Genomic DNA, 22979 nt, shown 5'->3' with positions numbered 1-22979 from the left:
CATTTCTGTTTTCTAGATGTAAGAGGAAATGCTTTCTCATTCTTAGTGTCTGTAATCCGTGATGATTTAGTAGGCTCTGCTCTGGTAGATGGATATGAAACTTTTTTTTTTTTTTTTTTTTTTTTTTGAGACAGAGTCTTGCTCTGTTACCCAGGCTGGAGTGCAGTGGCGCGATCTCACCTCACTGCAACCCCCGCCTCCTGGGTTCAAGCGATTCTTCTGCCTCAGCCTCTCGAGTAGCTGGGACTACAGTTGCCCATCACCTCACCTGGCTAAGTTTTTGTATTTTTAGTAGAGCTGGGATGTAGAGTAGAGATGTTGGCCAGGCTGGTCTTGAACGCTTGACCTCAAGTGATCTGCCCTCATCAGCCTCCCAAAGTGCTGGGAGTATAGGCATGAGTCATTGTGCCCGGCCAGATATGAAACTTTTTTTTTTTTTTTTTTTGAGATGGAGTCTCACTCTGTCGCCCAGGCTGGAGTGCAGTGGCGCAATCTCGGCTCACTGCAAGCTCTGCCTCCCGAGTTCACGCCATTCTCCTGCCTCAGCCTCCTGAGTAGCTGGGACTACAGGTGCCCACCACCACGCCCGGCTAATTTTTTGTATTTTTAGTAGAGACTTAGGGTTAGCCAGGATGGTCTCGATCTCCTGACATCGTGATCCACCCGCTTCGGCCTCCCAAAGTGCTGGGATTACAGGCGTGAGCCACCTCGCCCGGCCGAAACATTTTTAAATGATATTGCTTTCTCAGTGAACCCCCATTCTCACTGTCTCCTTATTTTTTGTGGTGATATAGTTATTTGCATAGGTTCAGTAAGAATCTGTCCTTTTTAAAATTGAAATTTGAAATTTAAAAAATTTTAAACTTTAATAATAATAATAATTTTTAGAGTTGGGGCCTCACTATGTTGCCCAGGCTGGCCTTGAGCTCCTGGGCTTTCAAGCAGTCCTCCCACTGCAGCCTTCTGAGGAGCTGAGATTACAGGTGCACACCACTACACCTGGCTCTGTTTTTTGTTTGTTTGTTTTGAGACGGGGTCTCACTCTGTCACCCAGGCTGGAGTGCAGTGGCATGATCTCGGCTCACTGCAACCTCCGCCTCCTGGGTTTAAGCGATTCTCCTGCCTCAGCCTCCCGAGTAGCTGGGATTACAGGTGCACGCCCGGCTAATTTTTGTATTTTTAGTAGAGATGGGGTTTTCTCCATGTTGGCCAGGCTGGTCTTGAACACCTGACCTCAAGTGATCCACCTGCTTTGGCCTCCCAAAATGCTAGGATTACAGGTGTGAGCCACCGCACCCAGCCCACACCTGGTTCTTTTGTTTTTTTTTTTTTGTTTTGTTTTTTGTTTTGAGACGGAGTCTTTTTCTGTCGCCAGGCTGGAGTGTAGTGGCGTGATCTCGGCTCACTGCAACCTCTGCCTCCCGGGTTCAAGTGATTCTCCTGCCTCAACCTCCTGAGTAGCTGGGACTACAGGTGTGCGCCACCACGCCCAGCTAATTTTTGTATTTTTAGTAGAGACGGGGTTTCACCATGTTGGCCAGGATGGTCTCGATCTCTTGACCTTGTGATCCGCCCACCTCGTCCTCCCAAAGTGCTGCGATTACAGGCATGAGCCACCACACCTGGCCCACCTGGCTCTTTTTTAAGTGTATATTTTTTTATCGTGGTAAAATAGATATAGCATAAGATTTCCCATTTTAAGCATTTTTAAGCGTACAGTTCAGTGGCATTCAGTACAGTCTCATTGTCGTGCAACCATTACCACCAACCATCTCCAGAACTTTTTCACCTTTCAAAACAGAAATGGTACCATTAAACGCTAACTTGCCACCCCCAGCCCTTGGCAGGTGCCTTTGTACTTTCTGATCCTTGTGAAGTTGACTACTCTGGGCACCCCTTGGAGATAGAACCACATGTATTTGTCCTTTCATGACTGGCCTAGTTCGCCCAGCGTAGTGTCTTCAAGTTCATCTGTGTTGTAGCGTGTGTCAATTGTATGTCACCCCATGTTTTATTTTTCCACTCATCTGTTAGACATCTGGACTATTTTGGCCTTTTGTTTGCTGTTAGCATGGGTGTGCAAATGTGTGTTCCAGGCTCTACTTTTCAGTTCTTCAGCGTAATACCCAAAAGCTGAATTCTAGGTCAAATGGTAGTTCTAGGTTTAATTTTTTGAGGGACTGGCGTCTGTGCCTTTTCTCAAACTAAAATATAACTGGATAAGTTCCTAGTGCGGCCAGGGCCTTCCCTGGAATGCCGTATTTGTGAAGGATGCTGACCAGCCACTTCTAGAGGAACTGAGGCGACCGTGGAGTCAGTGCCTGCGAGGTCTCGGCCTCCTGGGAAGAGTAGCTCGGCCCCAGCTCACAGCGTGGCAGGAAGGTCACTTGCCAGCAGCTGGGGAACTTAAGCTCTTTGAGGGACCTGAATAAAAGAGATATGAGACTGAATGTACAAACAGACATGACTGGACCCCGTTACCTTCAAGGACCCCCCAGGAGGCCACAGGCCAGCTTGTGGAGCCGGGTGCTGTCACTAGCAACCATCCGGGAAGCCATGCAGTAACTAGAGTCTATGCTGTCAGCCCCACATGGCCAGGGCTTGATTGACTGGCAGCTTCCTGAAGTTTTGTCTCTGCTTCCATCCAACTTGAGACCAAGTAGAGAACCCATAGGTGCACGTAACGGATCGATGGGTAGCTTTCCTTGGAGCCTCTCCCAGGCAAACGCGAGTGACAGCGGCCGAGTCCCTTGCTGTTGGGAGCTCTGAGAACACACCCTCGCCTCACCTTTGGGTGGGCTTCACTCGCACAGGCACTACAGGAGAAACCTGCTGGAATTGCTTTCTTTTTTTCTTTTTTTTTTTTTTTTGAGACGGAGTCTCGCTCTGTCGCGCAGGCTGGAGTACAGTGGCGCTATCTTGGCTCACTGCAAGCTCCGCCTCCCGGGTTCACTCCATTCTCCTGCCTCAGCCTCCCGAGTAGCTGGGATTACAGGCGCCCGCCACCACGCCCGGCTAATTTTTTTGTATTTTTAGTAGAGACGGGGTTTCACCGTGTTAGCCAGGATGGTCTGGATCTCCTGACCTTGTGATCCGCCCGCCTCGGCCTCCCAAAGTGCTGAGATTACAGGCATGAGCGACTGCGCCTGGCATTTTTTTTTTTTTTTTTTTTTTTTGGGACAGGGTCAGGCTCTGTTGCCCAGGCTGGAGTGCAGTGGCGTGATCTCAGCTCGCTGTAACCTCCACCTCCCGGGCTCAAGCAATCCTTCCCCAGTAGCTGGGACTACAGGCACACGCCACCATGCCTGGCTAGTTTTTGTATATATTATAGAGACTGGGTTTCACCAGATTGCCTAGGCTGGTCTTGAACTCCTGGGCTCAGGTGATCAGCCTGCCCTGGCCTCCCAAAGTGCTGGGATTACAGGCATGAGCCAGCGTGCCCGGCCGAAGCCTGGTGGTTTCTTAGGCTTAGTTTCCAGCCCTCCAAATAGCAGATTGTTGATGGTGTTCAAGGGCAATCTAAGATTCCTTCTGAAGATAGCCAGGGAGAAGCTGCTTTTGTGCCCTCATTGCTGTTTGACACTGCATGGCCCTAAATTAGTCAAAGAAGCATAAGGAGGCTTAGTTAAATTGAACTCTCACTGCACCATGTAATGGTCAGGTCAGTCTCATGAGTCCTGCCCTTTTGTGTTAAAGAATCCTTTGCGGCCGGCATAGTGGCTCACGCCTGTAATCCCAGCACTTTGAGAGGCTGAGGGGGGCGGATCGCAAGGTCAGGAGTTTGAGACCCGCCTGGCCAACATAGTGAAACCCCATCTCTGCTAAAAATACAAAAATTAGCTGGGCATGATGGTGCATGCCTATAGCCCCATCTGCTTGGGGGGCTGAAGCAGGAGAATCACTTGAACCCAGGAGGTGGAGGTTGCAGTGAGCCGAGATTGTGCCATTGCACTCCGGCCTGGGTAACAGAGCGAGACTCCATCTCAAAAAAGAAAAAAAAAAGAAAGAAAGGAAAGGAAGGAAAGAAAGAAGGAAGGAAGGAAAGAAGGAAAGAAAGAGAGAGACAGACAGAAAGAGAGAGAGAAAGAAAGAAAGAAAGAAAAGAAAGAAAGAAAGAAAGAAAGAAAGAAAGAAAGAAAGAAAGAAGAAAGAAAGAAAGAAAGAAAGAGAAAAAAGAAAAGAAAGAAAGAGAACAGAAAGAAATGCGACTGAACTTTGCCCAGTGGAAAACGACCAGTGCCTTGTGGCTGTTGGGCCCAGTTTTGCGTCAGTTTGTCAACGCATTTCCAGTTTCCCCGTTGCCTGCGCACACAGTTCTTGGACTCCTTTGAATGGTTTTAACATCGCTGTTTCCCCTGTTAAAAAATGAGTTAATAAAACCTTTCACATGTGTTCACGTAAGAACAACAACAGGCCGGCTGCAGTGGCTCACGCCTGTAATCCCAGCACTTTGGGAGGCCGAAGGAGGGTGGATCATGAGGTCAGGAGTTCCAGACCAGCCTGGCTAACATAGTGAAACCCCATCTCTGCTAAAAATACAAAAATTAGTCAGGTGTGGTGGTGTGTGCCTGTAATCCTAGCTACTCAGGAGGCTGAGGCAGGAGACTTGCTTGAACCCAGAAGGCAGAGGTTGCAGTGAGCCGAGATCGTGCCATTGTACTCCTGCCTGGGCGACAGAGTGAGACTCCGTCTCAGAAAAACAAACAAACAAACAAAAAACCAAAAAGGAAATCACCTTCTCCAAACCCTTTATTTTTCTTTTCTTTTTTTTTTTTTTTTGAGACGGAGTTTGCTCTTGTCGCCCAGGCTGTAGTGCAGTAGTGCGATCTCTGCTGACTGCAACCCCCGCCTCCCAGGTTCAAGTGATTCTTCTGCCTTAGCCTCCTGAGTAGCTGGATTACAGGTACGCGCCACCACACCCGGCTAATTTTTGTATTTTTAGCAGAGACAAGGTTTCACCATGTTGACCAGGATGGTCTCAGTCTCTTGACCTCGTGATCCACCCGCCTCAGCCTCCCAAAGTGCTGGGATTACAGGCATGAGCCACCACGCCCGGCCTCCAAACCCTTTATTTTTCTGAAGACACCAAGGCACAAAAAAGTGAAGTGTCAGGAATTCCTTTCCCTACCCCTCTCCTTTTCTGATTAATTCTTGGGCATTCTTCAGCCCTGACCCAAATGGCACTGCCCCTTCTCTGGGTCACCAATCTAGGCCATGGTCCATGTGTGTTCACATTTCCGGGTTGGAGCTTTCCTTGGCACTGCACGGAGCATGCTGTGAAGTTTGGTGGGTGGATCGACGTTCCTAGAGCAGCACGATGTTCCTAAATTAGCGGGCATGGTGCTGGGCACCTGTAGTCCCATCTACTCGGGAGGCTGAGGCAGGAGAATGGCGTGAACCTGGGAGGCGGAGCTTGCAGTGAGCTGAGATCGTGCCACCGCACTCCAGCCTGGGCGACAGAGCAAGACTCCGACTCAAAAAAAAAAAAAAAAAAAAGAAAAGAAAAAAAGAAATTCAGGCCAGGCACGGTGGCTCACGCCTGTAATCCCAGCATTTTGGGAGGCCAAGGTGGGCGATCATGAAGTCAGGAGTTCAAGACCAGCCTGCCCAACATAGTGAAAGTCCGTCTCTACTAAAAATACAAAAATTAGCCGGGTGTGGTGGCACACACCTGTAGTCCCAGTTACTCAGGAGGCTAAGGCAGGAGAATCGCTAGAATCTGGGAGGCGGAGGTTGCAGTGAGCCAAGACCATGCCATTGTACTCCAGCCTGGGTTACACAGGTGAGACTCTGTCTCCAAAAAAAACACAAACAAAAACAAAAACAAAAAAACTGGAAAAGAAATTCAGTGAGTCAGCTGTTTCCTGTGAGTGGGACTAGGAAGACAGGGATGATGTTGACCAAGGAGAGGACTGCCCTGCAGATATCTGGCCCTTAAAAATCTTCTTCTGGGAGCACCTGTGTGCTGTGCTTGTCCCCGTGTGACCCATGCCTCTATCTGACCAACTGCATGGTGTTTTCAATGAGTTCCAGGACATTTGGCTTCCAGAGTGCATGGGAGGCACATAGGCCTCAGAAGCAAAGCTGGCATCTGAGCATACTCGTGAGGGCCTGGCGCCCCCTGGCTCAGCAGCAGCGAAGCTGCCCCCTGCCCTCCCTGGGCACCCTGGAGCCTCAGTCGTGTCTCCGAAACCAGGGCAGAAGCGCCTTCCTGGCGAGGCCGTGGTGAGGATTGGAGGGGAGGCCTGCGGAGGGGCCTGGCGGTGCCTGCTGGGGTCCTTGTTGTCAGAGATGGTATTTGTCACCCCCGTCTGGCAAAGTCCTGGAGACTGGGGGAATGTCACCCCCATCCGGCAGAGTCCTGGAGACTGGGGGAATGTCACCCCCGCCCGGCAGAGTCCTGGAGACTGGGGGAATGTCACCCCCATCCGGCAGAGTCCTGGAGACTGGGGGAATGTCACCCCCATCTGGCAGAGTCCTGGAGAATGGGGGAATGTCACCCCTGTCCTGCAGAGTCCTGGAGACTGGGGGAATGTCACCCCCGTCCGGCAGAGTCCTGGAGACTGGGGGAATGTCACCCCTGTCCGGCAGAGTCCTGGAGACTGGGGGAATGTCACCCCAGTCCTGCAGAGTCCTGGAGACTAGGGGAATGTCACCCCCATCTGGCAGAGTCCTGGAGACTGGGGGAATGGCACATGCAGGGCTCGGCACCTCACCCTGCTCACTGCGAGGGCCTTGGGGAACCTGGCTGTGAGTGTCCTGGCATGAGGGCAGCCTCACTGAGGTGAGGCAGGGTATTTCCCGTTTCCCATCTGCCTGGCCGTCTTCCCACTGGCCCTTGGAAGAGAGAGGGCATGAACTCCTGGCTGCGTGAGTTTCCTTCTTACTAGCAACTTTGTTTAGGAGTTGGGATGGGCGTAGGGCCGCTATTGACGGGGGAGCCTCTGTGGTTTCCAGGGCGTCTGCATCCACGCCCTCCTAGGCCCACTCACAGCTGCAGTTGACTCATTGGATTTCTTCTTAAGTGACAAATGAAGCCAGAGGTTACCCGATGCAGGGCTGGTGCTCCACCTAAAGTTGACCAGCCAGGCCTAGGAATGCCACTCCCTGCTCCTAAAGCCCTCCAAGACCGTTGCCTAGGGGAGGCGGCCTCATGTCCCAAGGGATGGGGCCCCCAGGGTCTGGGCCGTGTGGCCTCAAGGCACAGCTCAGGGGAGCTGCCCTCACTCTGTCCTCTCCCGAGACTGCCACAACACCTTGCCCCTCTGTTATCCCATATGATCATGGATTTGATAGAAAATGTCCCATTGGGGGGCTGGGCGCGGTGGTTCACGCCTGTAATCCTAGCACTTTGGGAGGCTGAGGCGGGCGGATCATGAGGTCAGGAGATCAAGACCATCCTGGCTAACACGGTGAAACCCCGTCTCTACTAAAAATACAAAAAATTAGCCAGGCGTGGTGGTGGGCGCCTGTAGTCCTAGCTACTCAGGAGGCTGAGGCAGGAGAATGGCGTGAACCCGGGAGGCGGAGCTTGCAGTGAGCCGAGATTGCGCCACTGCACTCCAGCCTGGGTGACAGAGCGAGACTCCATCTCAAAAAAAAAAAAAAAAAAAAGACTGGGCGCGGTGGCTCATGCCTGTAATCCCAGCACTTCGGGAGGCCAAGACGGGCGGATCACGAGGTCAGGAGATCCAGACCATCCTGGCTAACACGGTGAAACCCCGTCTGTACGAAAAATACAAAAAGTTAGCTGGGCGTGGTGGCGGGCACCTGTAGTCCCAGCTACTCGGGAGGCTGAGGCAGAAGAATCCCTGGAACCCGGGAAGTGGAGCATGCAGTGAGCCAAGATCATGCCACTGCACTCCAGCCTGGGCGACACAGTGAGACTCCGTCTCAAAAAAAAAAAATGTCCCATTGGGGTACTCATCACAGCCCTGTCTTTAGTGGTGACAATGCTAAGCTATTCACATGCCCAACACTGGGGTTAGTGGTATTCACTGTGTATGTGACACACCAGCATGGGTTAGTGGTATTCCTCCATGATGTGACAACATCGGTATGGGTCAGTGGTATTCTGCTGTGTATGTGACACACCAGTTTGGATTAGTGGGTATTCTGCCATGCATATGACACTGGTATGGGTTAGTGGTATTTGCTATGTATTTGAACACACTGGTATGGGACTTCGGCCCTGAGCACTAGTGACACTTTGAGCTGGATGAGTTGTGGGTTTGAGCTGATGAGCCGTGCCCCCACTGCTACCCGCTACGTGCCAGGAGCACACCCCCCATAAATGTCTCCAGACAGCTCCAGATATTTCCTGGGTATCCAAGTCGCCCTGGCAGAGAAACACTGCATGAGACACGGCGTTAGGGTCTGGTGGGAGACTCACCACAGTGCCAAGGTGGCTGCAGTTTGCTTGTGACATGGGCGTGTATCTGAGTGTGAAGGAAGCTGGTTTTTGTGAGCTGCCTCCCGAGCTCAGAGGTGACAGTGGGCACTTTCCCCACAGAGACCCCTGAAGTTGTTCCTTGGAGAACAAAGTGGTGAGGGGCGGGGATTCCAGACCTTGAGGCAGAAGCTAGGGTCTGGTCCACTGTTCTGTGGACTGGGCAGTGGCCCTGGGAGGTGCCGTGGCCTCTGTGGCCTGTTTCCTGGGGTGGGGTCTGTCTTGCGCTTTGTCTCTTGTGGGTGCAGACTCCCCTTCCTCTGCTGTGGAGCCGGCAGATGGCCCCGGAGCCAGATCCTGGTGCCTCCCTGTCCACATGCAGCTCAGTCATTTGCTCTTGGTCCCTTCCTATGAAATGCACGGCCACACACAGCCAGGGTTTCTCCTGGGCTCCCCAGAGGGAGAGTAGGGTGCAGCCTGCAACAGTGCAGGGTCCCCAGGCCTGTGTGAGCCCCCAGGTGGGGAGGTGGGTGATGCGCATGTCAGTGCTACCTCCTGCCACCTCCTCTCTGCCTGGGCACAGGCTTTCTCCTCTGTTTGCTTTTTATTTCCTATGTATTCAGGAACCATGTGAAATTGCCAATGCTTGGTTTTGTCCTACAAAATGGCCATTTCATTTGGTTCAACCTGATATTGTGTCTACACACACACACGCACACACACACACACACAGGCAAATACTTTTTAAAACAGGATTATTCTATTCACAGTGTTCTGTAGAAATTTGTGTTCAGTCTTTTTTTTTTTTTTTGAGACGGAGTCTCGCTCTGTCGCCCAGGTCGGACTGCGGACTGCAGTGGCGCAATCTCGGCTCACTGCAAGCTCCGCTTCCCGGGTTCACGCCATTCTCCTGCCTCAGCCTCCCGAGTAGCTGGGACTACAGGCGCCCGCCACCGCGCCCGGCTAATTTTTTGTATTTTTAGTAGAGACGGGGTTTCACCTTGTTAGCCAGGATGGTCTCGATCTCCTGACCTCATGATCCACCCGCCTCGGCCTCCCAAAGTGCTGGGATTACAGGCGTGAGCCACCGCGCCCGGCCTCAGTCTTTTTAAGACAGCTTACTGTACTGATGCCGCACAGATCTTTTTTTTTTTTCGAGACAGGGTTTCACTCTCGCCCAGGCTGGAGTGCAGTGGTGCAATCTCCGCTCACTGCAGCCTCCACCTCCTGGGTGTAAGTGATCCTCCTGCTTCAGCCCCCCAAGTAGCTGGGCCCACAGGGCTTGCATCACCACACCTGGCTAATTTTGTATTTTTGTAGAGATGGGGTTTCACCATGTTGGCCAGACTGGTCATTCTTTTTGAGATGGAGTCTCGCTCTGTCGCCCAGGCTGGAGTGCAGTGGCGTGATCTCGGCTTACTGCAACCTCTCCCTCCCAAGTTCATGCCATTCTCCTGCCTCAGCCTCCCGAGTAGCTGGGACTACAGGCGCCCGCCACCACGCCCGGCTAATTTTTTGTATTTTTAGTAGAGACAGGGTTTCACCGCATTAGCCAGGGTGGTCTCGATCTCCTGACCTCATGATCCACCCGCCTCGGCCTCCCAAAGTGCTGGGATTACAGGCATGAGCTACTGCGTCCAGCCGGAAGATTTAATTTTTTAATTGTCAAATCCATTCTCTCTCTCTATAAACATTTTACATTTTATGATAATAAAATAATTTGTGAGCCCACGGCCCCGTTTCCCTGATGCCTGAGGTCTTCCTGGGGCGGCATGGGAGGGCTGAATTCAGGTGCGGGGTCGGCCCCAGGGCACTGAGCGCCTGGGTGAGTATCTGGAATGAGGAAAACAAAGCTTGGCTCCCGCCAAGGAGAAAGAAACTCAGGATGCGGGGCTCAGGCCAGGACCTCGGCTCAGCCGCCATTTCTGGAGCACAGGCCAGCTTCGTCGTCCTCCCGAGGGGTCCTGACCAGGGCTTCCCAGGAGCGGCCGCCCACTCTGTGTGTCCCTTTCCAGGTCGCCACTGGGACACTGTGAACCAGGAGTGAGTCGGAGCTGCCGCGCTGCCCAGGCCATGGACTGTGAGGTCAGAGGCCAGATCCCCTGCGGGTGCCTTGTGGGGGGCGGGGTCGAGGGGTAAGGGCCTGCGTGTCCCCCACCACGCATCCCTGAGGGCTGAGGCTGAGCCCGCCTGGCCCTTACCACAGCTCGGCACAGACGAACCCCGCCCAGCCCCTTCACTGAAGCAGGCGGGAGCCGGGAAGTCCTACCTTTCCCTGTCCTGCGCCTTCCTCGCACTCCGCTTGTGGTGCAGCCCCTCCACACCGCGCCTGGGGCTAACTGCAAGGGCGAGGGGGCTTTGGGTTTAAGACCATTTAACAGCCATAGGCTGTGGGTCCCAGCACTTTGGGAGGCCAAGGCAGGAGGATTCCTTGAGGCCAGGAGGTCGAGGCTACAGTGAGCTGTGATTGTGCCACTGCACTGCAGCCCTGTCCAAACAAACACGAAAGAGATTTAAGAAGAAGAAAGGGGGCATTAGATAAGCACTTCATATAATTCTCTCAACTGTAAAAGCAAGACAATACTTACCTTGTCTAACCAATGCCATTGCTATGAGGAGCAAATAAATCAATAAAGGTCAAATAAAAGTACTGTAAACTGTAAGGTGTTTCAAAAATTTTTTAACCCACTGGATTTAAATTTCCCTTCATAGCTGGGCGAGGTGGCTTAGGCACATAATCCCAGTGACTTGGGAGGCAGAAGCGAGAGGATTGCTTGAAGCCAGGAGTTTGATTGAGACAAACCTGGGCAACATAGTAAGACCCCGTCTTTATAAAGATAAAAGCGGTGGAGTTCTGGGAGGGGAGCCCGGAGCCCCCGCCTTCAGCAGGACGCTCCCTGGATGCTTCCTTGTCTCTCCTTCCCTTTAAATGGTCTGGGGAGAGAAAAATCACAGCACACGGGTGCTCTCTCCCACCCGCTGCATCACATCCTCCTCCCCTCCCTCCTGCCGAATTCTGCAGCCTCTGGGCGCCTCACGCTGTCCTGGCAGCCTCTGGGAAGGCATCTGCGAAGTCTAATGCCTTGGCACTTAGTGACTGTGTCGCAGTTCCTGAGCATGGAGAGCACCCGGCACCCAGGAGGTTCTCAAGCTGCCCCTACTGGGGGTCCTTTCCAAAGGTGGGGACGGTGTGGATTTCAGCGTGGTGGCTGGAGGGCTGAGGCAGTGGCTCGAGTTTGATGTTAGTTACATAAACAGAGGAGATTGCAGGAGCTCCCCCGGCCCTGATCCAGGCTTGTTGTCAGTGTCCAAAAGACCACTCTGGGTGCCACTGTCCCTTCCCACCTGCCGCTGCTGTTCCGGCTTCGCGCTCTGGCGGCCTCCGCAGGTAGAACACCACCGTCACCCGCGCAGCGCCCTGACTCGCCGGAGGAGGCGCCTGCCCTCCCGCCCGCCTCTCCCCGGCCCCCTCAGTGAGGGAGGGTGGACGTCGCCACTCCCCTTTCTTGCCTTCGGAGTGAGGAAGCGGAGGCAGCAGTACGGCAGCCCGCCCAGGGCCACAGAGCTGGGGTCACAGCGAAACACTCCGAAACTTTCTTTTCAATTATAGGGTTCAGCCTTTTTTCCCATCATAACTTTAATTCTGTGTAGATACTTCTATTTTTTATTTTTATTTTTTTTTTTGAGATTGAGTCTCTGTGTCGCCCAGGCTGGAGTGCAGTGGCACGATCTCCGCTCACTGCAGGCTCCGCCTCCCGGGTTCAGGCCATTCTCCTGCCTCAGCCTCCCGAGTAGCTGGGACTACAGGCGCCCGCCACCACGCCCGGCTCATTTTTTGTATCTTAGTAAAGACGGGGTTTCACCGTGTTAGCCAGGATGGTCTCGATCTCCTGACCTCGTGATCCGCCCGTCTGGGCCTCCCAAAGTGCTGGGATTACAGGCGTGAGCCACCGTGCCCGGCCTTATTATTATTATTTTTTTGAGACGCAGTTTTGCTCTGTCGCCCAGGCTGGAGTGCAGTGATGTGATCTCCGCTCACTGCCAGCTCCGCCTCCCAAGTTCATGCCATTCTCCTGCCTCAGCCTCTCGAGTAGCTGGGACTACAGGCGCCCACCACCACGCCCGGCTAATTTTTTATATTTTAGTAAAGACGGGGTTTCACCGTGTTAGCCAGGATGGTCTCGATCTCCTGACCTCGCGATCTGCCCGCCTCGGCCTCCCATAGTGCTGGGATTGCAGGCGTGAGCCACCGCACCTGGCTAATTTTTGTATTTTTAGTAGAGATGGGGTTTCACCATGTTGCCCAGGATGTTCTCGACCTCTTGACCTCATGATCCGCCCGCCTCGGCTTCCCAAAGTGCTGGGATTACAGGCGTGAGCCACCGCGCCCGGCCAGCACCATCTTTTCCTTTCCACTGGAACTGATCTTATTATTTTTGCCTCCATTAGATCATTTTTGTAACATGTCTTGCAGGATTTACTGTCTTGATCGTTTCTCTTAACATATTTTTTTCCTGTGATCTAAAAAGATAAAAAACTATCAATTCTTTTATCAAAAGTGGATCTAGAGGCTGGGCATGGTGGCTCACGCCAGTAATCCCAGCACTTTGGGAGGCCAAGGTGGGCAGATCACCTGAGGTCAAGAGCTCCAGACCAGCCTGGCCAACATGGTGAAGCCCCATCTTTACTAAAAATACAAAAATTAGCCAGGCGTGGTGGCACGTGCCTGTAACCCCAGCTACTTGGGAGGCTGAGGCAGGAGAATCCATTGAACCTGGGAGGCAGAGGTTGCAGTGAGCTGAGATGGCACCATTGTACTCCAGCCTGGGCAACAGAATGAGACTCTGTCTCCAAAAACAAAGTGGATCTAGAAGATCAAAAAAGGGCATGATTCCATATTGGCACAGCACAAGCCCTATTCTTGGAATTAAATGGCATCCATCTTCCGAGCCCACTCCTGTCCTGCAGGGCCGGCCCAGCCTGTCCCTGAGGCACTGGTCCAGACAGGAGCCTGTCCACACAGCTGTCCACTCAGTGGGCCCAGTGCTTGGCTTCACGGTCACTTGCGGCACCTAGACCTCCTCTGGCAGGTGCCATTCTTTCCTCTCCCTCCCTGCCGCCTCGAGTCTTTATTTTCTGTGGGATCTTGAGTTTGATAACCTGACCTGCTGTGGTGGCAGCACCGCTCTGTGTCCAGATTCTGGATGCCAATTTACCAAGCGCAGGTCAAAAAGAAGTCCTTGGGCAGCGGCTGCCTGCGTTAGCTTCTTGGGGCTGCTGTAGGCGGTTCCAAGCAGGAGAGTGGCTTTAAACAACAGATGCGGATCCCCTCCCGGTTCTAGAGGCCCAAAGGCTGGAATCCCATGTTGCCCGGCTGCTTCCTTCTGGGGCGCTCTCCTGGCTCCTGTGGCTGCCTCTGTCTTCACATGGCGTCCTCTCTGTGTGTCTCTGCTTAAATCTCCCTCTCCTTTCTCTTACAAAGACACCAGTCATTGGATTTAGGGCCCACCCTAATCCAATATGACCTCATCTTAACTTGATTACATCTGTAAAAACCTTATTTTCAAATAAGGTCACATTGACAGGTACTTGGGGTTAGGACTTGCGCTTTTCTTTTTGGGTGACACAGCTTAGCCCAGCACTAACTGTGTCACCAGGACTGTCGCTTGAGGCAGGAATGAAGCACATCCTGTTTGTAAGCTGTCTTGTGCCATGCGGCTGCTCCGTACAAGAATTGTTAGGAATTGATGCAGTGGAATTTTGCATACAGTTTTTCCTCTCTTCAGAAACAACTTTGGAGAAGTAAAGGCTGAATAGCAATACACAAGCACCTTATTTTATTTTATTTTAGATTCAGGGGCACGTGTACATGTTTGTCACATGGGAATATTGTGCACTGGTGGGGACTGGGCTTCCGGTATCGCATGGAGAGGGACTCTTTCTGCGCTCCCCCGCCCCCGCCTCCCTACTGTAAAGTGCCCGGTGCCTGCTCTCTCCATCTTCGTGTCCATGGGCACCCATTGTTTAGCTCCCACTTATAAGTGAGAACAGTCAGTATTTGATTTTCTGTTTCTGAGTTAGTTCACTTAGGGTAATGGCCTCTAGCTCCATCCGTGTTGCTGCAGAGGACATGATTTTATTCTTTTTTATGGCTGCAGCAATACACAAGCTCCTTATTTTTATTTATTTATTTATTTATTTTTGTTGTTTGTTTGTTTGTTTTGAGACGGAGTCTGGCTCTCGTCCCCCAGGCTGGAGTGCAATGGCGCGATCTCGGCTCATTGCAACCTCCACCTCCCGGGTTCAAGCGATTCTCCTGCCTCAGCCTCCCAAGTAGCTGGGACTACAGACGCCCGCCACCAGGCCCGGCTAATTTTTGTATTTTTAGTAGAGACAAGGTTTCATCATGTTGGCCAGGCTGGTCTCAAACTCCTGACTTCGTGATCCGCCCGCCTCGGCCTCCCAAAGTGCTGGGATTACAGGCGTGAGCCACCGCGCCCGGCCAAGCTCCTTATTTTAAGCATTTTTTTTTTCTTTTTTGAGACAGGGTTTCACTTTGTCACCCAGGTTGGAGTGCAGTGGTGTGATCATGGCTCATTGCAGCCTCAAACTTCTGGGCTCAAGTGACCTTCCCGCCTCAGTCTCATGAGTAGCTGGGACTGCAGGTGCATGCCACCTTGGCTAATTTTTATTTTTTGTAGAGATGGGGATCTTGTTGCCAGGCTGGTCTCAAATTCCTGGGCTCAAACGATCCTCCTGCCTCTGCCTCCCAGAGTGCCGGGATTACAGGCATCACCTAGCAAAGCATTAAAACAATTTGCTGCTGGGTGCAGTAGGTCACACCTGTAATCCCAGCACTTTGAGAGGCCAAGGAGTTGGGGGGAGTTGGGGGGCGGGCGGATCACGAGGTCAGGAGTTCGAGACCAGCCTGACCAACATGGTGAAACCTCGTCTCTACTAAAAATACAAAAATTAGCCGGGCGTGGTGATGCACACCTGTAATCCCAGCTACTCAGGAAGCTGAGGCGGGAGAATCATTTGAACCCAGGAAGCGGAGGTTGTAGTGAGCCGAGATCACACCACTGCACTCCAGCCTGGGTGACAGAGCGAGACTCCATCTCAAAACAAAAACAAAAACAAAAAAACAATTTGCCCTGTAAGAACTGTCCTCTAAAAGTTTTTGGTTTTTCTAATGAAAAATATTATGGACTTAGAGAATAGAAATAAATTTCTGCCTACACTTCCATCTTCCCTCCCACCCTTCTCTGGCAGCCCAGGAGGTCTTTTTGTGTGAATCTGCGCAGATCTCAGCGTCCCTGCCCTTCTTTGTGTTTTGTTCTCTCTTCCACCTTAGGTCTTTCTCTGGTCTGGGCACACCCAGCTGCAGGGCTCACCTTTGCCTGTAAGAATACAGCCCCCAAACACAGTCAGTACCCCAAGAACAGTCCCTGCCATCTCTGGCGGCACAGATGCTGGCCAAGCTGCAGCTGCCAGTGCTGCCCAGGGAGCTGGAGAGCTGCCGGCCAAGAGCCCAGCCCCTCTGGGTAGAGCAGGAGCCAGTGCCACCACTCCCTGTGGGATTCGGATTAAGGACACACCCACCCAAAGTAAACCAAGCTTGGCCAAAGGCAGGTGCCCAGCTGTGGTCACCACTCCGCAGTAGTTACTGAAAATCTTCCATCTGCCCAATACCCTCCTGAGCCCGTGAAGGAGATGAGCGGAAAGAGGCTCCGCCTGTTGGAAGCACAGCCAGGAAAGGTGGGCTCAGATTGCTGAAGCCTGCAGGGGAACTTGAAGAAAGCGTGCCAGCACAGGATGGCGGATGATGCCCGCATGACACTCGCTCGCCTCCCCGGAACAGCCTGTGGCCTTCTCACCTAGTGGGAAGCTCCCCAGCCGCGTGTTTCAGGAGGTCCAGCAGATTCCTCTGCAGAGGAATCCCTTTCTGCAGAGTCGGGGCTCGCTCCCTGCCATCTACGGGCAGTGCTGCTTAAAGCTGTGGCTGCAGACCTTGCCTCTGCCTGTTGAGACCTCCTGCAGGGCCCTCCAGCCCACAGGGTCCCTCAGCTCTCTGGGACCTGTGAGGCTCTTTGGGCCAGCTGCAACTGGAGCTCTTTGCAGGAGGGGCCTCTGGCCTGGCTGAAGTCCCGGCTTCCTGACTCCCCTTTCCCCTCAGGTCAACAACGGTTCCAGCCTCAGGGATGAGTGCATCACAAACCTACTGGTGTTTGGCTTCCTCCAAAGCTGTTCTGACAACAGCTTCCGCAGAGAGCTGGACGCACTGGGCCACGAGCTGCCAGTGCTGGCTCCCCAGTGGGAGGGCTACGATGAGCTGCAGACTGATGGCAACCGCAGCAGCCACTCCCGCTTGGGAAGAATAGAGGCAGGTAGGCGGCCGGCCCCACCTCCTTCCCCAAAGCTGGGCTTCTCTGTCGCCAGTAACATTCAGGGAGCCTCAGGGCTGGAAGGGACCCCCGGGATCACTCTGCCTCTGCAGTTTCAGCTGCCACGTACGCTGGTATCACTTAATCACTTGACTGGTCTCTACTTGATTCCCTCCAGTGCTGCTGAACTCACTGCCTACCATTTTTGGGTGACTCTGTTAGAAAGTTCTTCCTTTCTGTTGAGACAGAATCTCATGTACTGGTCTTGAGTCCCTTGTCTGGACCAACATAGAATGGTGTTTTTATCCAATTTTCCAAATGTGATTCTGATACAAAGATTGCAGACCACTTGTCTGGATTATATAACCCAAGGGGTTCTCACACTTGGCCTTGTATCATTTCAAGGACCTGGAGCTTTAAATGCTGGTGCCTGCATCTCACCTCCAGAGATTCTGATTGGTTGGTCTGGGCATTGCTGGGTCTGGGCAAAGCCCCCAGGTGGCACTACCGGTGCGGCCCCTGCCTCCCCAAGCAGGCCTGGCTGACTGTCCCATTGATTGAGGCCCACTGGTTTCACAGTGACTTTTGCACTGTCTATACCTGACATATTTCCTTTCATACATTATGCTCCGTGATTACCTATACAAGAACACAGAAGTATTTGGAACCTCATTTCCAGGTGAGGAAACCCAGGTCCAGCAAAGGGTAAATGACTAGCTCCAGATCACACAGCTTGTGGCCATGTTACCACTGGGACATGGGGCCAGGCCCCTTCTTGAGGTGGGCCTCAGCCGCCCTCCCACTGTAGGGCACTGACTCCAGGTCACCATGGTTTCCAGACTGTTCACCTTTCCTGTTGCTGATCCCTGCACTCTCCTCCAGCCTCCAGCTCCACTCCCCTTTGCCAAGGGGCTGCTTCTATGGACAGGGGCTGTCCCGAGTGGAGGCTGGGGGCGAGTGGAGGCTCACCCACTTCCAGATCCAGCCCTGCGACGCTGGCTTTCAGTAGTGTGCACATTGGAATTACACGAGAAACCTTTTCCAAATGCAGGCCTTGGGCCCTACTCCAGCTGCCTGCATCAGGCTGTTTTAGGGCGGGAGACTGCCCAGAGGATTCTGACGCAGGTAGAATCCCTGCCCTGAAAGCCTGCAGGGATCCCCGGACCCTGGTCCAGGCCTTCCAAGCTCAAGGGTTGCACTGCCCTCTGGTGGCTGTGGGGGAGACCAACAGCTGACCCAGCCTTCTGCCTCCCGCCTGTCTTAGATCAGGTGCTTGAGGACGTGGCTGGAGTTCCCCACTAGACCGGGGTGGGGGTGGGGGTGGGGGGTGGGGGGAGGTGTCTGAGAATGTCTCTGCCTTCTAATCCAGCCAGCATATCTTCTGGCTCGCCCTGAACTGAGGAGAAACCCCAGATCCCTTTGGGAAGGTCCAGGAAGGGCAGGAGTGGACAGGCACAGCTCTGCTGTCAGCACTGCTGTGGGGGTGACTGTAGCCCCAGTCTGCCCTGGTGTTTTTCTCTCGCTCTTCTCCATGCCGGCCTTTGCCTCTAGACTGAGAAACCGGGGTTGACTCAAGTGGCACCTGCAAAAGTGATCATGGCAGTTCACTTAGCCTGCAGGTGACAGGGACTGTGAATCTAGTCCCTGGCGAGCCTGGAAAGAGGGGCAAGGTAGAGGCTCTGGCTGCCGGGGTTTCTTTGGTGAGTCCGTTCACTCGGCTGGACACAGACGGATCAGGAAAGATTCCTGTTGCTACTCGGCTGGTGGCCAGAGGGAGAGAGGACGTGTCCGTAACTGAAGCAAGGTGGATAAGCTTCGGGAACGAGCGAGGCACAGATTCGGTGCTGGGGGAGTGATGAGGTGCTGGAGGAGCTGGGTGCTCTGCTCTGCAGGGAATCAGGAAAACTTTGGGGCTGCAGCTCCAATTGAGCTGGGCCTTGGGGGTTGGGTATGTTTGGTTCCTTGGAAACTGGGAAGAGGGAATGGCCATCTTTTAAGCAAAAGCCCAGCGGCTATAAATGCTACAGTGAGGCTGGGTGCAGTGGTTCACGCCTGTAATCCCAGCACTTTGGGAGGCCAAGGCAGGTGGATCATGAGGTCAGGAGTTCAAGACCACCCTAGCCAAGATGGTGAAACCCCGTCTCTACTAAAAAAAATATATAAAAATTAGCCAGGCGGGGTGGCGGGTGCCTGTAATCCCAGCTACTTGGGAGGCTGAGGTAGAGAATTGTTTGAACCCGGGAAGCGGAGGTTGCAGTGAGCTGAGATTGTACCACTGCACTCCAGCTTGGGGAACAGAGTGAGACTATGTCTTGAAAAAAAAAAGAAAAAAAAAAGCTACAGTGAGTAGTTGAGTTTGCCTAGGAAGCGTGGAAGTTAAGTCAGACGTACTTTCAGGCTGGGTCATGACTTGTCACTTAAGCAGAGATGAGCACTTGAGAGGTTTTGAAGAGAAGTGATGTGGCAGCCTTACTGCATGTTCCATGGACAGACTCCAGGGAGGCCGTGAAACCCCCAGAGCACAGCTTCTAAGAACGTGCCCACTCCTTAGCACGTCACTTCTCCCAACCCTGCCCTGCTCTGAGGTCTGTGCTGTGAAGGTGGCCGAGTAGACTGGACGGCAGGGAGTGGGGCTGTCATCATCAGATGAGAGCTAAGGGGACCCCCACCAGGGTGGCGGCAATGGCAGAGGGTAGGCAAAACGCTTGTATTTGCAACATAAGGTGAGATTTGACAGCTGACCGAGGGTGGGAGCAGCAGCCAAAACCAAAAAAGCCAGAGGGAAGTTGCAAGCACAGAAAAAATAGAAGATTTAATGGGAGAAATAACAATAGCTGGCATCTATTGAACACTTACTGGGAGCTAGGTACAGGGCCCATTCATTCATTCATGCAATTAAAACTTTTTTTAAGAAACGGGGTCTTGCTCTGTTGCCCAGGCTGGAGTGTAGTGGTATGATCACAGCTCACTGCAGCCTTGAATTCCTGGCCTCAAGGAGTCCTCCCACCTCAGCCTCCTGTGTAGCTGGGATTATAGGTACGTGCGGTACACCTGGCTCCCTTTAAAAGTTTTTTGTAGAGGCAGGGCACAGTGGCTCACACCTGTAATCCCAGCACTTTGGGAGGCCAAGGCAGGAGGATCACAAGGTCAGGAGTTCGAGACCAGCCTGACCAACATGGTGAAACCCGTCTCTACTTAAAATACAAAAATTAGCCGGGTGTGGTGGCGGGCGCCTGTAATCCCAGCTACTCAGGAGGCTGAAGCATGAGACTTGCTTGAACCCAGGAGGCGAAGGTTGCAGTGAGCCGAGATCGCGCCACTGCACTCCAGCCTGGGTGACAGAGCAAGACTCCGTCTCAAAAAAAAAAAAAAAGTTTCTTGTAGAGGCAGGGCCTTGCTTTGTTGCTGGTGCAATCACGGCTCACTGCATCCTCTAACTCCTGGCCTTAAGCAATCTTCTGTCCTCAGCCTCCCAAAGCACTGGGATTACAGGCATGCATGACCACACCTGGTCCCTGCCATTGTTTATTGAGCACCTACTGAGTGCCATGTATTAAGTGCTGGGTATTTGTCAGTGGACAAAACAGATTAAAAAAATCACAGCCCTTAGGGAGCTTACCTTCTGGCAGGGGCGTCAGACAATAACACAGCAAGTGCTGAGGAAGAAACGGAGGCGGCAGGGAGCGTGGCAGTTGAGCGTGGCCTTCATGGAGCTGCGACAGTGGTACTCGGGCAGGGGCAGCACGGAGGCTGTGCGCCAGAGGAGGAGGACTGAGGGGCAAGGGGGAGAGCTCTGGTTGGAAAGGCAGGGGAGATTCTCCAGGGCCTTGCCGGTGCCAGTGACAACTGGGGTTTTCCTGAGACGGGACTGCGAGGAATGGGGGCTCTCAGGCTTGAGAGGGCAAAAGTGGGTCTGGGATGCCGTCTGCCCACAGAGCCCCTTCCCCAACGGCTGCCCAGGCCAAGGCCAACCCTGTTGGGTTGTGTGGTGTGAGCCATGAAGCCGCTGCCAGGCTTGTACCTCAGGCGTGGTCGTGATGCCCCAGCTTCACCGGCCCTGCCTGTGGGGACGTGGTGCCTGTGTGCGGGAGCCTGGGCCTCAGCCGAGGCCCTGAGCTCCGGCACTGCCCAGAACCCAGCTCAGCGCTGGTACTCAGCCCGCCCGCTGTGGCCCTGGTGGAGTGGAGCACGTGCCCAGTGGGGGCTGGCCTTGTCCCATCGCGGACCTGTCCTTTCCCGGGGCAGGGTGGTGTGGGAGAGGGTATCAGGGACATTTTCTGAGTCTGCTCTGTCTCTGCCGCCCCTGCCTGAACACAGATTCTGAAAGTCAAGAAGACATCATCCGGAATATTGCCAGGCACCTCGCCCAGGTCGGGGACAGCATGGACCGTAGCATCCCTCCGGGCCTGGTGAACGGCCTGGCCCTGCAGCTCAGGAACACCAGCCGGTCGGAGGAGGTGAGTGAGGGCCTGAGGACCGCGTGGGCGGGCAAGTGAGCCAAGGGGGCCTGTCCCCTGCCTCTCACCAGGCAGCCCACTGTCCCGTGAGGCCACTCAACTCGTGACTGTCAGGTCCAGAACTCTGACGAAGTAACTGGACGTAGGGTATGGTTCATTGCCTTGCAGAAGATTTCAGCTGGTTGACATCGAGGAAACCTGAACCTTAAATCAGAGTAAAGAGTTTAGGGGTAAAAGCCTCTAAAAGATGAACGAAGCATGTTTGGCCAACAGAAGAAACAGACGCTTCCTTTGGTTGTAGGGAGTTTAATAATGGTGCCAGTGAGAACCGTAAGCCCTGGGAGTGGTGCCTGCTGCTCTGCTGAGCTCCTTGGTTGGAATCCACACAACTTTCTGAGCTCTACCATCTGCTTGGCACTGTTGGGGATACAAGATTGGTCCGGGGCACTGTGTCCCCAGAACACTTAGCGGAAAGAACTACATCCTCCCAACTGCCAAATGCAGGCCTGTAGCGGTAGGAGCTGAGAGGAGAGAAAGTTCCACTTTTTCGACTCTACCAGCTGAAAATGCAGGCGTCCTCACCTCCTAGAAATCCAATCATGCTTCTGTTCAGTGGGGCCAGCCTGTGATGTCCCAGCAGCTGCCTAGAACGCAGGAGTGGCTGGCGCACTCCCATGTAACTCTGCATGTGCGCCGACCGCCTGACGGTCCTTGCCAGCCTTGTAGTCTGTCTAGTGTCCCCCAGGAACCCCCTTCCTCCTGTCCATTCAGCTAGGTCTGCACCAATAAAATGGGCCTAAGGCGTCGCAGGTGGTCACTAGTTCTGGACTCGAAGTGCCTTGGGCGCAGGGATGACCCAGGCTTCTTGTATCCCATCACCGTCTAACAGTGGGCACATGGGCTCACCACACATGCGTTTGCTTACCGAGCCCCCTGCAGGGAGTGATTGCAGTCTTCCCTTTCCATTGCCTCTCAGAACTCAACTGTTTCTCATTCTTTCCGCCCAGCAGCCCTGGATACTTAATAAGTACTTTGAAGTGCTTCTTCATACTGGGGACTGTCTTTCCTTTGAGAGGGAAGAGTATTAGTAAACCAGGTTCTGTGTGCCCCTCTGTGCAGGACCGGAACAGGGACCTGGCCACTGCCCTGGAGCAGCTGCTGCAGGCCTACCCTAGAGACATGGAGAAGGAGAAGACCATGCTGGTGCTGGCCCTGCTGCTGGCCAAGAAGGTGGCCAGTCACACGCCGTCCTTGCTCCGTGATGTCTTTCACACAACAGTGAATTTTATTAACCAGAACCTACGCACCTACGTGAGGAGCTTAGCCAGAAATGTAAGAACCCTTGAGGTCAGCTCCTTCCCTGCCTGCCGCCCATGCCCTTTTCTCTGGAAGGTTGAGAAGCCCAGCGGGGCCCCTGCCTCTGATGCCAGCACAAGGGTTACAGGCTGTCCTGCTCGGGTTTGGTTTTGCTGTTGTGAGCTAGAAAGCTGTGTGTAAAGGTGACGAAGAGCACCCAGAGTCCTTTGGAGCTTTAGCAGCTTACTATTGGAGACATGCTCCATTCAGAGGGGTGGCAAAGGCTCACGTCACACTCCTGGTGGGGTCCTCAAGGCACAAGCAGGTACAGAGTGGAAGGAAGGGGCTGGAGGGCTCACAATGAGCTTTTCAGACCTCTCACCTTGCCATAAAAAATAAGTGTAATGTGGCCAGTGCGGTGGCTCATGCCTGTGATCCCACTGCTCTGGGAGG

At 53.4% G+C, this 22979-nt stretch overlaps 1 protein-coding gene across 7 annotated transcripts in view, besides 4 other annotated features; it reads left to right on the top strand.

Moving 5' to 3' along the window:
* The window catches only part of BID (BH3 interacting domain death agonist), a 40528-nt gene that overhangs the window by 14087 nt on the left and 3462 nt on the right, over positions 1–22979 (top strand). For 3 of the 7 annotated variants that reach the window (NM_001196.4, NM_197966.3, NM_001244567.1), the window contains exons 2-5: positions 10405–10474; positions 16566–16776; positions 21091–21230; positions 22350–22562. In NM_001196.4, coding sequence (NP_001187.1) covers positions 10463–10474; positions 16566–16776; positions 21091–21230; positions 22350–22562 — 576 coding nt within the window. In that variant the 5' untranslated portion in view covers positions 10405–10462. The remainder of the gene's footprint in view (positions 1–10404; positions 10475–16565; positions 16777–21090; positions 21231–22349; positions 22563–22979) is intronic. The other 4 variants (NM_001244570.1, NM_001244572.1, NM_197967.2 and 1 more) reach the window with 3 other exon arrangements.
* Positions 6789–7288: an enhancer, noted in NCBI's record as "H3K27ac hESC enhancer chr22:18236057-18236556 (GRCh37/hg19 assembly coordinates)". NCBI's record gives its function as "activates a minimal SCP1, AML or CMV promoter by ChIP-STARR-seq in naive H9 embryonic stem cells {active_cell/tissue: H9 hESC(naive)}" and the evidence as "EXISTENCE:reporter gene assay evidence [ECO:0000049][PMID:30033119]".
* Positions 9860–10404: an enhancer, noted in NCBI's record as "H3K4me1 hESC enhancer chr22:18232941-18233485 (GRCh37/hg19 assembly coordinates)". NCBI's record gives its function as "activates a minimal SCP1, AML or CMV promoter by ChIP-STARR-seq in naive H9 embryonic stem cells {active_cell/tissue: H9 hESC(naive)}" and the evidence as "EXISTENCE:reporter gene assay evidence [ECO:0000049][PMID:30033119]".
* Positions 15664–16284: an enhancer, noted in NCBI's record as "H3K27ac-H3K4me1 hESC enhancer chr22:18227061-18227681 (GRCh37/hg19 assembly coordinates)". NCBI's record gives its function as "activates a minimal SCP1, AML or CMV promoter by ChIP-STARR-seq in naive H9 embryonic stem cells {active_cell/tissue: H9 hESC(naive)}" and the evidence as "EXISTENCE:reporter gene assay evidence [ECO:0000049][PMID:30033119]".
* Positions 17862–18156: a silencer, noted in NCBI's record as "tiled region #7571; K562 Repressive DNase unmatched - State 25:Art". NCBI's record gives its function as "represses a minimal TATA promoter and a strong SV40 promoter by Sharpr-MPRA in K562 cells {active_cell/tissue: K562}" and the evidence as "EXISTENCE:reporter gene assay evidence [ECO:0000049][PMID:27701403]".

Source organism: Homo sapiens, chromosome 22, assembly GCF_000001405.40.
Source record: "Homo sapiens chromosome 22, GRCh38.p14 Primary Assembly".
Taxonomy (NCBI): domain Eukaryota; kingdom Metazoa; phylum Chordata; class Mammalia; order Primates; family Hominidae; genus Homo; species Homo sapiens.
The sequence above is the reverse complement of the archived record's forward strand: the minus strand, read 5'-3'. Positions and strand labels throughout refer to the sequence as shown.